Source organism: Homo sapiens, chromosome X (genome assembly GCF_000001405.40).
Source record: "Homo sapiens chromosome X, GRCh38.p14 Primary Assembly".
In the NCBI taxonomy this organism is placed as follows: domain Eukaryota; kingdom Metazoa; phylum Chordata; class Mammalia; order Primates; family Hominidae; genus Homo; species Homo sapiens.
The window spans coordinates 97,384,567-97,400,879 of record NC_000023.11 but is presented as its reverse complement, the minus strand read 5'-3'; the positions used below and the strand labels follow the sequence as shown (position 1 = coordinate 97,400,879).

The 16,313-nt window shown below is 37.3% G+C and overlaps 1 protein-coding gene across 2 annotated transcripts in view, besides 1 other annotated feature; it reads right to left on the bottom strand.

Annotated features, from left to right (window-relative positions):
* The window catches only part of DIAPH2 (diaphanous related formin 2), a 920,156-nt gene that overhangs the window by 204,118 nt on the left and 699,725 nt on the right, over positions 1 to 16,313 (bottom strand). The window lies entirely within an intron of this gene.
* Positions 2,350 to 2,439: an enhancer, noted in NCBI's record as "active region_29799". NCBI's record gives its function as "activates an Ori minimal core promoter by ATAC-STARR-seq in GM12878 lymphoblastoid cells {active_cell/tissue: GM12878}" and the evidence as "EXISTENCE:reporter gene assay evidence [ECO:0000049][PMID:35858748]".

Here is a 16,313-nt window from a genome sequence, read left to right as displayed (position 1 = left end):
AGTATAAATGAACATTAACTGAATAAAAATAATGATCCTACTGTCTTGTTCTAAGGTGGGTAATACAAGACCTTGACATCAATACTGTATGCTTGTTTACACAAAAACAAATACTGCATGATCTCACTTAGATGTGCAATCTAAAAAAGTCAATCTCATAAAAGCAGAAAGAGTGGTGGTTGCCAACAGCTGGGGGAAGAGATGGGCAGATGTTGGTTAAAGAGTACAAAGTTCCAGTTAGACAGGATGAATAAGTTCTGGAGACTGATTGTACAGCATGGTGGTTATAGTTAATAATACTGTATTGTACCCTAAAAAATTGCTCAGAGAGTAGATCTAAAATGTTCTCACCACCAAAAAAGTATATGAGGTGATGAATATGTTAATTAGATTGATTTAATCATTTCACAATGTATACATATGTCAAAACATCACATAGTACACTGTCAATATGTACAATTTATTTGTCAATTATACCTTAGGAGAGCTGAAAAAAAGAAAAAGATGCCGTATATCTTTCTAACCAGCTTTATACTTCAATGGAATTTTGAAAAATAAGCTGTGATAGTAAATTATATTGTTAACAGAAACACATACAAATACTCATGTTGGAATCTATCTAATAATATGTGGATATTCACACATACATTATATATACTGTAACCTTTGCTATTTTTAAAAGGCATCTTTGCTAATGAGTTCAGCTAACAAAACCATATCCATATTCACTTTTGAAGATATTGAGGTGAAGTGATATTGATCTCACATATATTTCCACACCTACCATAGCACACAAAACACCTATGAATATTCAATGTCTACATAGTCAAGGATTAAGGTCCAAATTCATGTGTGCTTTCCTACCACTCTTCTAAGATAAATACTCCTTTAATATCAGTGAAAATAAAAACATACTGCTGAAAGCATCTGTATTCCTAGGATGCTCCTAAAAATTAGTAGTTGTTAGTTATTGCTAAACTCCACATCTGGGTGTGACCAAAATGTATACAGTATGAGAGGTATATTATAGCATAAGGGGGCATTACATTTCCAAAAGATTTTGAATCAACCTAATGATTTTCAGAAATGTAATGAAAGAGAAAAACAGGTCCTTCTACAGTGCCTAATAAAACTGTGAAAACACAAAGTAGAGAAAAATGTAAGAAAACAGAAAGAGGCTGCTTAATGCCTTTCAAATAGAAACTGAATTGCTGAGGCAGTTCTCACCACCTTATTTATATATCGGGTTGCTCACAAATCATGATGTCACCCACCAGGAAGCAATGCATCAGGAGGAGCATGACAGTGCAACAAGCCCAAAGAAGGAGGGGAGAGAGGTGCAGCAGAATGATAAAAATGTATCAACTCGAAAAATCCAAATGGTTTTACAGATGAATATTATATGAAAGCATTACATGCAAATAAGAAATTAGTTTCAGAAACTGTCTACAGGCCAAACAAACCAACATAAAAGAGGATGCTTATAACAAAGGACTTACATTTGGTGAACCAAAACTGGGTACTCCTTGAATATCAGAGATTGAAGAGATGGCTAACTTCCACCAAAAGGTTTCCTTTCCCTACCATATCTGTGAGACAAGCAACTAGTCTCTTATGTCCCATCTCAAACAACAACAAAAATATGACAACAAACAAAACAAACAAAACCTGGCATATGGTCCTACTTTCCATTTAAATAATACATTTTTTTCTTTAAGACATACTGTCTTAAAGTAAATTTTTGAGATGGCTCCTCAATACAGACTTCTGGTTTTACTTTGGTATGTCAGCATCAATTAGTCTTTAGTTACTTTGTCTTTAAAAAAAATCACATCCGGCCGGGTGCAATGGCTCACGCCTATAATACCAGACTTTGGGAGGCCGAGGCAGGTGGATCATGTGGTCAGCAGTTCAAGACCAGCCTGGCCAAGATGGTGAAACCCCGTCTCTACTAAAAATACAAAAATTAGCCAGGCGTGGTGGTGGGTGCCTGTAATCCCAGCTACTCAGGAGGCTGAGGCAGAGAATTGGAATTGCTTGAACCCGGGAGGCGGAGGTTGCAGTGAGCTGAGGTCGCACCATTGCACTCCAGCCTGGGAGACAGAGCAAGACTCCATCACAAAAAAAAAAAAAAAAAATCACATCCTTCAGAAGAAATGTTAACTACTAAAGTCTAGGGCACATGATCTCTTTTCCTAAGATTATACTTATCTGTGGTTTTAAAAGAGCTAACTCATACATTTCCTTATAAAGATGTTTACCTTGCTCCTCTAGGGTCTTAAAAAAAGAGAGAGGATGAGGGAGAATAGGCTGAAAACTGCACTGCCAACCATTGCCCCTACCCCCACTTCCACCCTTGAGGAGGGAGGTATCTTTTGGAGGTTTCATCTACTGTCAGGGTTACTCAGTTGAAAATAGATACTTTCAACATGCTTTAGCCACAGGAGCTTACAGGATTACTTAAAAGTACAGGCTGCATGTGAATGTACTGTGGGGGAAGGAATGTGGTTACATTTAAAGGTTAATGTAACCATAGTTCATCTCTATAGCTCAATCTCGATTTCCCCTCAAAACATGATCAGATAGCCCTTAGAACAAAGCTGTATTGACTATTTGAGTGAAGAAAAAAGAGATGCAAAGAACGGTATAACAAGACCTAACAACATAATGGATTCTGGTGATGCTGGATAGAGAGCTCTGACTCAGAACCAGTTGCCTCAAACAAGTTAAGCATCTTTTTAAAACACTGGGGAAGACACAGGGGAGGTAGTTTCATATACCATGCTGAAGTTCAGTAGAATGAGGTCGGTTAAGCACTCTGTCCTGAGACATACACTTTTCATTTTCAATTGTTTTCAAATAGAAAGAGAGAAATCCCCTTTTCAAGTTGGATTGTTTAAATGCACCTACAGCTACTCCTGTCTAGCAAAGGCTAGGCAAGCTCTCCCTACTGATGCATTTCAAAAAAGGTTCAATTGGCAAAAGAAAGCAAGTGCAAAGGGTTTTTGACAAAAGAGGACTAGAGGGAACACATTTTCCTTTCACAGAAATACTGTTCTAGAAAATCAGACAAGGTAGTGACTCAACCAAGAATGTGTAGATATTGGTGAGATCAACAGGAAATTTGGAAAACTTCTTCAACTTCAAACACTCAACTGCGTAAAATTATTAGCTAAAAAATTGGGGTAGGGATTACATTATAAAAATATGGGACTAAAGAGACAAACAAAACAAGACACTATGATTTACAGATTACAACACAGCCTAAACCAGCATACTCTGAGAATGTGGTTATCTTATACCACAGAACCACACGGATGTAAAAGGAACCTCCTGGACCCTGTCCAATCCTCAGCAGGGCTATGCCTGAGTCTTCCTAGACCTATATGCATCCATCCTATTTAATGATGCCCCAAATAATTCCTACGCAACTTTCTCCAGGGCTCAGCAAATAGAAAAGGCTAAATCAAATACAGGAGCTCTGAAATATCTAGTCTGACAAAAAGAATTTTTTTTTTTAAAGTACATTTAAAGTAGATTCCAGTGCTGGTTCAAACAAATAAAAGTATTATGCCATCCATAGTTAATTGCACATTTAAAAGGATAATTATTTTTTGATTTTCAAATGAATCATACCATCATCTTCTAAGCTGTTACGAAATAGCATATGAAACCTACTGTTGATATATATGACAAGCAGGTATTCTAAGTTTAGGTTTTAATGTCTTCCTAATACCATTGTGACAAAGGTATAATTGCTTTCTTAAACGATGTCTTCTTTTCCATTTTATCCCACTAACAAGTTAAGATACTATATACTTTATAGGTTGTTCATGTGTGAGGGGTGTAACAGAGGACTGAGGATTGACTATTTATAAAAAAAGAAATATAGATGATTTTAAGAGATTATATATGATATGTGAAAAATATTATATGCTACATACGGTCCTGTGTGAGTATATACATACACCTATGGGACTACATGAAGCAACAACCATTATTTCTTACAGAACAGACACACATAAGAGAGGGAGAAAGGCTGATAGTTAATAACCCCTGAAATAGGTTAATAGTGCTAAGTTATCAGTCAATCATACTTTGATTAGGATATGTCACCACAGATCAGCACACTGTAGGCACTGAATAAATACTTGTGGAATTAAATTAACAATCACTGAAAGGTTTTTGTCCATAATCCTTTTGCACATTCAGTGTAACAACGGAATTTATTTATTTATTTTTTTTAGACAGAGTCTCACTCTGTCGCCCAGACTGGAGTACCCGGGTTCAAGCAATTCTCCTGCCTCAGCCTCTCGAGTAGCTGGGATTACAGGCATCCGCCACCATACCCAGCTAATTTTTGTAGTTTTAGTAGAGACGGGGTTTCACCATGTTGGCCAGGCTGGTCTCGAACTCCTGACCTCAGATGATCTGCCCGCCTCAGCCTCCCAAAGTGCCGGGATTACAGGTGTGAGCCACTGCGCCCGGCCAAGTGTAACAGTAGATTTTGTCCTGATTCTAAAGCAGCCCAGGGGCTCGGGAATTCAATGTGGGTGGACCAAATATAATTTAAAAAAAAGTCATTAGAGACTCAGTTGGGTTCAGTGCAGTTTGTTGGTTCTGTGAATCTGTTAGGTGTAATTACTGACATGAATCTAAGTGCATTTGACTGAGAACAGAGCAAAATTAATTGCAATGTTGCTGTATAACAGCTGTTATTCATTTGACACTTTTCTGTAATAAGAATTAGAATATTAAAATATGGAACAAAGCATGTTTTTAATAAATGATTAGGCCACCTACAATGTGTTTTGGTAATTTCTTATATAGTCAGTTTTATTGTTTTCACTTACCTGCTCTAATATTTTCATAGATTTCTGCCTAGTAAAGTTGCATAAATCATATATAGCAACAAGCATATATTGTAGAGAAAAGCCAAATTTGTAACTGCCAGTGTTACTCATCTTCTACATACAAATTGATGAAATCTTGTTAAATGTTCAGCACACTGAAGACAGCTCTTACAGTTTTTGCAAATCTGAGTTTCTGCATTTAGAATGTAAGAACTCTTAATGAGATCTAAAGTATATTACCTATCTTGTTTCACATATTTATTTTTGTCTCTCATTTAAAAGAATATTTTTAGTAGATGTAGAAATTTGTTTTACTGCTAAGGCAGATAGAATGAGAGTTTAGCACTTATTTCCCGAGAACTGAAGCCAGAAATGTAATTATTTTAGTATGGGGTCAGAAAAAAAAAATTACTAGTGATAAGTGGCTCAAATAGGCTACAGGAAAAAATAACTAGAATCTTCAATTAATCTAGAGTGTATTCTGGAAATAGTACAGATAAAGCACATGCTCCAATGCTAGTGTATACTGATCACTGATGCTCTGAATAATGGCCCAGAGACAATAACGAAATCCTAATGATCTACCAGTAAATGTATATTGTGTGCTGGCTACATGTCCAAAATTATATCTATGTGCCACATGCTGCTGCACATTTTCACCTGTGTAACATGTAAAGCCAAAATTTTTTTGTGGGCGGAGGTGGTTGGGAGAGTGCGAGGAGAGTTGTACAAAGAGTTGAGAAAGATTTCAGATGATAAAGACTGATGCATAAACAGCTTTCTATATAATTATAAAGTCAGATTAATCAAAACTCCACTTCTTTTAGGCTAGTCAATCAAGATCTTATTGTAATGATTATTGCCATTGATAATTTTCCTTGATATGTTCACTAAATAATTATTATTATCAAAGGGATAACATTTAACACTTATTACATGCTAACCATGTGCCAGGCAAGTACTAAGAGATTTACATGTATCCTCTCATTTACTTCTTATGAAAATCCTACGAGGTTGATGCTGTTGTTTTCTCTGTCCTCGAGGATCAGAGAGGTTAGATGAGTTGTTCAAGGATACACCATGTAGGGAGCAGGGCCATGATGTGAACTGGTTTTGTCTGGCTCCAAAGGCAAGAGGGGTAAACTCATTTCAATCACAGGCTAAACCAATGATGGAGAGATCTGACAGATTACATGTCACTGGGGATCAGCAGATTCAACCAGCAGGGTGTGGTTTATCATTTGATGATTGCTACAATGGGAGCTCCTCCTCTTTGCATCTCAATATCTTTTATCCCAATGCTTGAACTTAGAAATTCAACAAATGTTGACTGAATGGCAGCAGCATGACACGATATTGCCTTAACATGGACCTAAAGATATTTCATTAAAATAACAAAGTCACGAATTCATACTAAACATCTTAATGTGTGAGAAGCTCCAAAGACCTGGGTAAGTCTTTACTGTACTGAATAATTTTATCTGGGGAAACAAAACCCAAATTTTCACTGAAAAATCAAATCTAGAGAACAAAGAGAAAAAAATTCTGATCTTTATATAAACATAGATTTCTTGAAATCTTTGCTAAGGTAGGAAACTAGGTAACTTAAAGTAAACATAGTATCAGCCAGATACACTTTTTCTCTTCATAGGTAAGGCTTTGCTAGGCCAAAGACTGTTTTCTAGGTCCACCAAGCATACAAACTTGTTTTACTTTGTATTAGCATCTATGAGCTGTTTATTAGCAGTTGTAAAAATATGCCGGAACGATAGTACCGATATTGCCTCATTAATTTATATTATTGGAGGTGATTTACTGCTACTTGAATCAATTCCATTATTTGTGAGTTTTCTAATCTATAATTTTGGTGACTATAATTTAATGTCTGGGGTATGACAGTAAGAAACATAAATTGACCTATTCAGATCAAAATAATATAATGTGAAATGAGTTTATTCACTTATAAGATGTAATTATTTTACAACTAGGAAAACAGATAAAAACAAAATTGCTATCAACCAGAGTTTAAATGTTTAGGTTTATTTGGCAAAACTGCTCATCAACTCTCTGAAGACTGATTTTTCATCAAATCTAAGGTACCTCATTCTTTATCATGACACTAGAAGTAAACAGGCAATTCTGATTTCCATATAATCTTATACAAGGAGGAGTAAAACTCTTCCTGATTAAATTAATATTTGCATAAGAATCATGCTTATAGTTTGCAATTTCAAAATACCCATTTTAACATACTTTTTCCTATTGCTTCCTCTAAGATTTTGCAGTTAATTTGCTGACTTCCATAAACATGAAAAGAAAGAGATTTATTTACAAATATTTGGTAAGCTTTTTCTCTTCTACCTACAGAACTAATTAATCTTTTTTTTAGTGGTCCCTAACATAATTATCCTCTATATCAATATAGCCAAACATTGGAGAACATAGATTAGACCAAGTACTTTACATAGTTTGCATACTGTTGCACGCATTTTAGAGTACATTTGTTGACTTAGCATATTTTTGTTGCATTTAAATTAGCTTTCTCAATTTTACATTTAAATAAGTGGTATATTACTGTGCATGCTCTAATTATAATTATTTGGAAAATGGTGCAATAAACGTTGATTGGATGGATCAAATAGCCTAATGTGCCAAAATATATCAATATATAATTATCTACTGGTAAAACTGTGCTGTTCTTTTAAAAAGATGTCTCTTGCTCATCAGTCAATCTGTTGCTTGCAACTTCCAACTGCTTTTAAAATCTCCTTTATGAAATTTTTTCCTTCCTGTTACCATCTTCTCAAACTGCTTCAGGTTTAAACTCCTTTGAAGAGAGAATCAGGTATGAGCTCACTCCCTTTTCATCACCTTTCACTGTTCTTTTCCAGCTACATCCTCCTTGTAGTCTCCTCTCCTTTCTTGTGCTTCTGGCTTACTTCTTGAAAATCCCTAAATGAATTCCCATAATGACCTTAGCTCTCCTACCTCATCATGCCACAACTCCCCTGCCTGACTTGGAAGGCTCTTTCACAGCCCGGCTCCATCCTACCTTTCCAACAATTTTCCAAATCAAACCCTTCACTAAAACGACACCAACAGAAAATACTGACTGAACATTTAACTATCAGGGACTGGTAATAGGCCAAATGCCATTAACGTATAATCAATAAACAGACTACAGTATAAATAACACCAGTCTCTGGTTTTACAGAAGAAAAAATTGAGGCACAGAAAGATGAAACACCTTGTCAGAGATTATATGGCTAGCAAACTGTGGTGCTGGGACTTGAACTTAGGACCCATTCTCTTAATCGTTTTGATGTATTTTCCTGTGGGCTATACACATATCCTACATAAAGCATGCTGCCTTATGTGCTGACGTGCACTACTGCTGATGTTATTCCCTTTTACTTGGATAGTTTCACCTCTGCTCAGCCAAATGTTACCCATCCTTCAGGGTCTAGCTTGACTGGTATGTTCAGAGGCTGTATTTAGCCTTCTCCATGAAACTTTATGTAATTTTACCAGACCTCACTGATTTCCCTTTTTAGATAGAGTTAAAGAGCAAATAATCTCTATTATGTATCAGCACACAGTTTAATGTTTGCTAGGTCACCTTTATTTTATTTCTCTGACAAAAATGAAAACTTCTTAAGGGTGGAGACTATTTCTTGAGTTTTTACTAGATTCTTCAAGAAGCATAAAAATGACTCTTTCATCGTGTCAGCAGCAGCAAGTATATTCTAGGTCCTGTGTTTTGTACTGTACTTAATTATCTCACTTAATCTTCACTAAAACTATAAGAGGTGAATGTCATTATCCTATATTACACATGAGGTAACTGAGGCATGAAGAGATAAGGCAACAGAACTAGGTCATAAAGCTAGGTAGCAGAGCTAAGACTGATCTTCACTTCTGAACACACAGAATTTAAATTTTTAGTAATACCACTTAATGTTTATAAAATGCCTGTCTCTTTAATATTTAATCATATCTATTTTCTCCTTTACAATTAAAAAAACTGTTTCTTATCATGGCATTTGCCTTCTGATCTCCAAATCTCTCAAAATATAGCCTTGGTACATGGTATTTTTTTATGGATTTAACTTGAAAGATATAATTCTCTGGCTGCTTGGTTTTCATGATATCATTACTTAATTCTGAGCTCAGTTGATCAAATGTAGATTACAGAAATAATCTTTGTGTTTGCTTTATACTATTATTTTTCTGAATAATTAAATCCTCAAATATTTCTCCTTGATGAATGTATATAATTTTGCATGCCACATAAAGATACCTTACTTTTGCTAAGTTACATCTACTAAGCAATAGATGTGTTAAAAAAAAAAGGTTGGGGGAGAAGTGTTTGTCCTTTGCTACATTGATAGGAAATAGAAGCTTTACGGAAAGTGTACACTTTTTTAAAAAGTTATTTGTAATTTCCAATGTGACTTACTTTATCCAGGGAACTCTCTACTTTTGTTACAGGTAAGATCCTATGGTTCCAATGGTATGTATCTTTGGTCCCATGCATGAAATACCTCTATGTACTATATATTACATACCTCGCAATGGCAATGAAATGTTCTATATCATCTCTCTTTCGGTGGAAGAGAAGATTACAATGTTCTAATTGGACATATTTAAAGTTATATAAATCACTTTCTGATGACACTTCACTCACATCTTCCATAGGCTTTCACGCCCCATGGATTCACATATGATATGTCTCCATCATGATTCCTCCCAGCTCTCAGAAGGCTCACAACTGCCTTCCATCTAGTTGATAAGAGCATCTTTCATAAGACACTCTCTGAGAAACTCAGACAGTGAGCTCCATCTTGACAGACACCCAACTCTATTATTCTTACTCTTTCTTTCCTGCATCTTTTCATTTTCATAATTAAAACTACACACTTGCAATGGAAGGATCTGTTTTTGAAACATATTTATAAGTACAAAGGCACATATAGTCCAAGTATAAAGTAACATTACAATAAATAATAATAATATTTGTAACACATGGGCCATGAGTCAAGAAGGTAACAGTAGTTTACTATTTGACTGATACGTAAATAGAGCTATGGTACTAAAACATAAAAAATAAATCCAATTTTTAAAAATTTATTTTTCATGCTCAAATCACTCAGCTGAGCATATGCATAAAAACTTATTTGGATATTTATCTTACGGTCTCAATGACATTTGAAAAGGTAATTAACTAAATATTAGCAAATGAAAATACATACAGACTATGAAACCATCCCTATAAAAATTTAAAAATTAATCAGGGAAGAAAGGAGAGAAAGAAATGAAAATAGGCCAAGGCCGGGCGTGGTGGCTCATGCCTGTAATCCCAGCTACTTGGGAGGCTGAGGCAGGAGAATCACTTGAACCCAGGAGGCAGAGGTTGTAGTGAGCTGAGATTGCATCACTGCACTCCAGCCTTGATAACAGAGCAAGACTCCATCTCAAAAAAAAGAAAAGAAAAGAAAAGAAAAGAAAATAGGCCAGGCACAGTAGCTCACGCCTATAATCCCAGTACTTTGGGAGGCCAAGGCAGATCGCTTAATCTCAGGAGTTCAAGACCAGCCTGGGCAACATGGCGAAACCACACACCTACAAAAAATACAAAAATTAGCTGGGCATGGTGGTGTGTGCCTATATTCCCAGTTACTGGGGAGGCTGACGTGGGAGGATCGTTTGAGCCCGGGAGGCAGAGACTGTAGCGAGACAAGACTGCGCCACTGCACTCCAGTCTTGGCAACAGAGTGAGACCCTGTCTCAAAAAAAAAAAAAAAAAAAAAAAAAAAAAGACAGAAAGCAGGGAAAAAGATAAACCAAGCTTGTGGTACATTCAGTGATTCAGTGTTAATCATTAAGTCAGCTTGCTCTCTGACCGGCTTGACCTGCTTCCTCATAGTTGTTCGGTACTTATTGCTTCAAAATCACACAGACCCTGTTACAAGATTATAGTTCCCCTTAACTGCTGTGTAGATAACAACTTGAACATTATAAAACATTAAGTTTTCCATTGGAGCTATTCTTTCAGTGCTGTGTACCAATGAAACTACTGATGTCAGCTGGTCTGAAGGATCCCACAAGAAGCTGACTCACCAAAGAATGCAGTTTCCACATCCTGATGATTTCATCCCCCTTGCCCTGGTCAATCAATGACTCCAATTTTCCAGCCCCCTACTCTCCGAGATCCACTTAAACATCCCAGCCCAGAACTCCTTGAGGGGATGGATTTGAGGGTCTCCTCCCATCTCTTTGCTTGGTGCCCTGCAATCATTAATGTCTTTCTCTGCTGCATCCCAGTTGTCTCAGGGTATTGGTCTGTTACTGTGCAGCAGGCATACAAACTTGTTGGTCCTATAACAACTAGACACAATCAAAATAAGCCCTTCTTTCTTTGTCTGTTATAGACACATTTTTAGGAGAACAGTGAAAGGTTAATAAACACTTGGAGGAGCGTAGGAATTGCTGTAGTGTGGGAGAAAGATTACATTCTCAGAACAAAACTGGATAGGCTCCTTTTTTTTTTTTTTTTTTTTTGAGACAGAGTCTCGCTCTGTAGCCCAGGCTGGAGTGCAGTGGCGTGATCTCGGCTCACTGCAACTTCTGCCCCCCGGGTTCAAGCAATTCTCTGCCTCAGCCTCCCGAGTAGCTGGGATTACAGGCACCTGCCACCATGCCCAGCTAATTTTTGTATTTTTAGTAGAGACGGGGTTTCACCATCTTGGCCAGGCTGGTCTTGAACTCCTGACCTCATGATCCACCCGCCTAGGCCACCCAAAGTGCTGGGATTACAGGTGTGAGCCTCTGCACTCGGCCGATAGGCTCCATTTTTAACCACTTACTCTTTTCATTGTTCACTCCAGCAATGCTGGAGTGTGGCGGGGGACTCCTGGAGGCCCCGAAAGATCATTTCAGGGATTTGCAAGGTGAAAACTATTTTCATAATAATACTGACACTTTTTTGCCTTTCTATTTCTCATTCTTTCCTGAGTGTATCGTGAAGTTTTCCAGAAGTTACATGAAGAATGATATTGAATCAGATTGAATAGAAAAGTAGGTATGAGAATCAAGCTGTCTTATTAAGTCAGACTGTGAAGAGATTTATGACATTATTCTTTTTCTCTTCTAATTCTTTTTTTGTTTTGGAAAATATAGGTAGTTTTCATTTAAAAGGTTATTTATTTTAACATGAAAAGGTTTACTATTGTTATTTTAATTGAATCAATCGATAATTTTAAAATTATCTCAGTTTCAACTCTAAGATGATAAATGTCAATATAAACAACTTAGATAAACAAAAGGCATTTGGGGTCCTCAATGATTTTTAGTGTAAATGGGTTCTGAGATCAAATAGTTTCAGAACCTCTGATTTATACTTTACCGTGGTGATCCCATTCAAACACACATGCTATAAGTTGAACTATGTAATTAAGAGGTGATTGTTCTAAAATATTTATTTTAGGAAAAAAAAACAGTAACTAAGAGCAGCTGGGCATGTTAGCATACACCTATATTCCCAGCTACATGGGAGGCTGAGGGAGGAGGATTGCTTCTGCCTAGGAGTTTGAGGCTGCAGTGAGCTATGATCACATCTCTGTATTCCAGCCTGGGTGACAGAGTGAGACTCCATCTCTAAAGAAATAAAATAAAGTAGGGTGGGCCTTTAATTCAATATCACTGGTATTTTTATAAAATAAACACCATGTGAAAAGACAGATATGCACACAGGGAGAATGCCATTTGAAGGTTGAAGTTATGCTGTGACAAAGCAGAAAACTACTAGAATCTAGGAGAGAGGTCTGACACAGATCCTACCGTAGACTCTTCAAAAGGAGCATGACCCTGCTGACACCTTGATCTTGGACTTCTAGCCTCCAGAACTGTCAGACAACATGTATCTGTTGTTCTAAGCTACTTAGCTTGTGGCATTTTCTTATGGCAGCCCTGGCAAACTAGTACACTGTAACTTTAATGTTCAAATAAAAACCAATGATCCCCAAGCCGATATGGTTAGTTTAGACTTCTTTCCTGAGTTTCACAATCACATATACAATGGCTTCTTAGACATTTTCCATCTTTACAAGGTGGAACTAAACATGTTTAAAATGATATTAGTCATTGTAACTCTCCTGAGAAAATGTGCTCTATTCCTGAGTTTGCTTTCTCTGTGAAGCATACCATCTTCTTTAACACTTGCCTCCTTTGATTTACACATCCAATCAATCATCAGCACCTGTCAATTCTGTCCTTTAACACCCTCTCATGATCGTTAATTTTATATGTCAACTTGGCTGGGCCACAATGTCCAGATATTTGGTCAAACATTATTTTGGTAGTTTCTGTGAGGGTGTTTTTGGATGAGATCAACATTTAAATCAGTGAACTTTGGGTAAAGCGGTTTGTACCTCATGATGTGAGTGGGCCTCATCCAATCAGTTGAGGGCCTGACTAGAACAAAAACACCGACATCCCCCAAGCAAGAGAGAATTCTGCAGCAGATAGTTTTCAGACTTGAACTGTAACATTGGCTTTCCTCTGGGTCTCTAGCCTGTCCTCCTGCCTTGCAGATTTTAAACTTGCCAGCTTCTATAATCACTTGAGCCAATTCCATAAAATAAATCTGTGTGTGTATATGTGTTTGTGTACACACACATCTTACTAGTTCTGTTTCTCAAAAGAACTCTGACTAATACACCTCTTGTTGCTTTTTAAATCTCACTGTCACTGTATTAGTTCAGGCCACCATCATCTCTTGTCAGGACTATGACAATATCCTCATAACCTCTATTTTCTTAGGGCTTTCCCCTTCTAATACATTCTTTCTGCTTCTGTCAAAATGACCTTTCTGGCTGGGAGGTTACAGTGAGCTGAGATCATGGCACTGCACTCCATCATGGGTGACAGAGTGAGACCCTGTCTCAAACAAAAACAAAACAAAAACAAAAAAACAAAACAAAACAAAAACAAAATGATCTAAGAATCCTGACTATGTACATCATTTTCCAGTTTATAAACATTCATGGGCTTCCCATAGCTTTCAGCATTAAGACCCTTGGCATAGCAGAAAAGAAAGAAAGATACCATTAGGAGAAATAGATGATGGGTTGATGGGTGCAGCAAACTACCATGGCACGTGTATACCTATGTAACAAAACTGCACATTCTACAAGTGTACTCCAGAACTTAAAGTATAATTAAAAAAAAAAAAAAAAGAAAGAAAGAGAGCTCACAATCTGTCCCCTGTCCCCTACTATCTCTTCTGGCCTCTTCTCCGACTACTCCTCCCTGCACATAAAGGAGCTAACTTTCAGAACTTTTCTTTTTTTTTTTATTTTGAGACAGAGTCTCACTCTGTCACCCAGGCTGGAGTGCAGTGGTGAGATCTCGGCTCACTGCAACTTCCACCTCCTGGGTTCAAGCGATTCTTCTGCCTCAGCCTCCCGAGTAGCTGGGACTACAGGTGCGCACCACCACGCCTGGCTAATTTTTGTATTTTTAGTAGAGACGGTGTTTCACCATATTAGCCAGGTTGGTCTCGAACTCTTGACCTCGTGATCCACCCACCTTAGCCTCCCAAAGTGCTGGGATTACAGGCGTGAGCCACCATGCCCAGCCACTTTCAGAACTTTTCTACTGACTTCTTCACCTTTTCAATGATAACTTCCTATAAACACATATTGCCATGCTGTACTCTAGTGCTTACCTCCTGATAGAGTGACCTCAGTCATGACCAGTTTTCCTGATTCTAATTATGAAGTTCGTTTGCTAAATTATGTTGATACTATTCTATTTTAACACAGCTTTTTACATAATATTACTTTTTTTCTTCTGTTAAAATGTTATATTTGTTTCCTGGGTGGAAGATATAAACTATAGTCAATTCCTGAAAATGTTTATATATTTTAAAAGTACAAAGACTAAACTTAACAGTACGGATATTACTTTAGAAGATTAGCCATTAAGACATTACTGCAAAATACTTGATAATGATTGTTATAATTAATAATTACACTTAAAAACACATAATAATAATTAACTCTGGTTACACACTGCCTGGGTTCAAATCTTGGTTCTACCTCTCACTATCATTGTGACCTTGGGCAAGTTACTTAACTTCTCTGTGCCTCAGTTTTGTCATTTTAAAATGAGATAGTAGTACTTTCCTAATAGGGTTCTATGAGGATTAAATTGGTTCCTAAATGTAAAATTCCTAGAATAGTTCTTGGTAAATAGCAAGTGCTATATGTTAGTTGTTGTTGTTATCATTTTCTCCTGACAGTGGCATAGGTAAATGGAAAGATTCTATAGTGAGACGACTTGGATTCTAATCTTGGTGCTAGTACTTCCTGTTTGTGTGACCTTGGCCAAGTTCCTTAATTTCTATGAGCCTCAGTTTTCTATCTGTAAAATGAGATGATAATAGTACCTACCTCATAGAGATGGTGTGAGGATTGACTTAAAATATGTAAAAGTGCCGGGTGCAGTGGCTCACGCTTGTAATCCCAGCACTTTGGGAGGCCGAGGTGGGTGGATCACGAGGTCAGGAGTTCGAGACCAGCCTGGTCAACACAGTGAAACCCTGTCTCTACTAAAAATACAAAAATTAGCTGGGCATGGTAGCAGGCACCTGTAATCCCAGCTACTCGGGAGGCTGAGGCAGGAGAATTGCTTGAACCCAGGAGGCAGAGGTTGCAGTGAGCCGAGATCAAGCCACTGCACTCCAGCTTGGGCGACAGAGCTAGACTCTGACTCAAAAAAATAAATAAATAAATACGTAAAAGTCTTACAACCATGCTTGGCATGTGGTCAATATTATAGAGTGCTTGCAATTTTTACTATTGTTATCTTCAGTAATACATGGTCCATATTAATCATATTACCTTGTATCTTATTCAGATTTTGTTTTGTTTTGTTCCTAAATTCTCTAAACCTCAGGTGACAAAGACTATGCATGCTTTTTTTATTCCTAAATTTTCAGTGTGCAGATACCTGATACCAATCACTTTCTTTTTTTGCCCTCTCTTCTTTAGAAAGTAAACCAACCAAACCAAACAACTCACCAACAATATACAGTCACTCTTGCTAACCAATAAAACAACTTTATTTATTTATTTATTTATTTATTTATTTATTTTTTGAGATACAGTCTCGCTCTGTTGCCTAGGCTGGAGTGCAGTGGCATGATCTTGGATCACTGTAGCCTCCGCCCCCCAGTTTCAAGCAATTCTCTCACCTCAGCCTCCTGGGCAGCTGGGATTACAGGCGCCTGCCACCATGCCTGGCTAATTTTTGTATTTTTTGTAGAGATGGGTTTCACCATGTTGCGCAGGCTGGTCTTGAACTCCTCACCTCAAGCGACCCTCCCGCCTCGGTCTCCCAAAGTACTGGGATTACAGGCATAAGCCACTGTGCCCGGCCTCAAACAACTTACTTTAA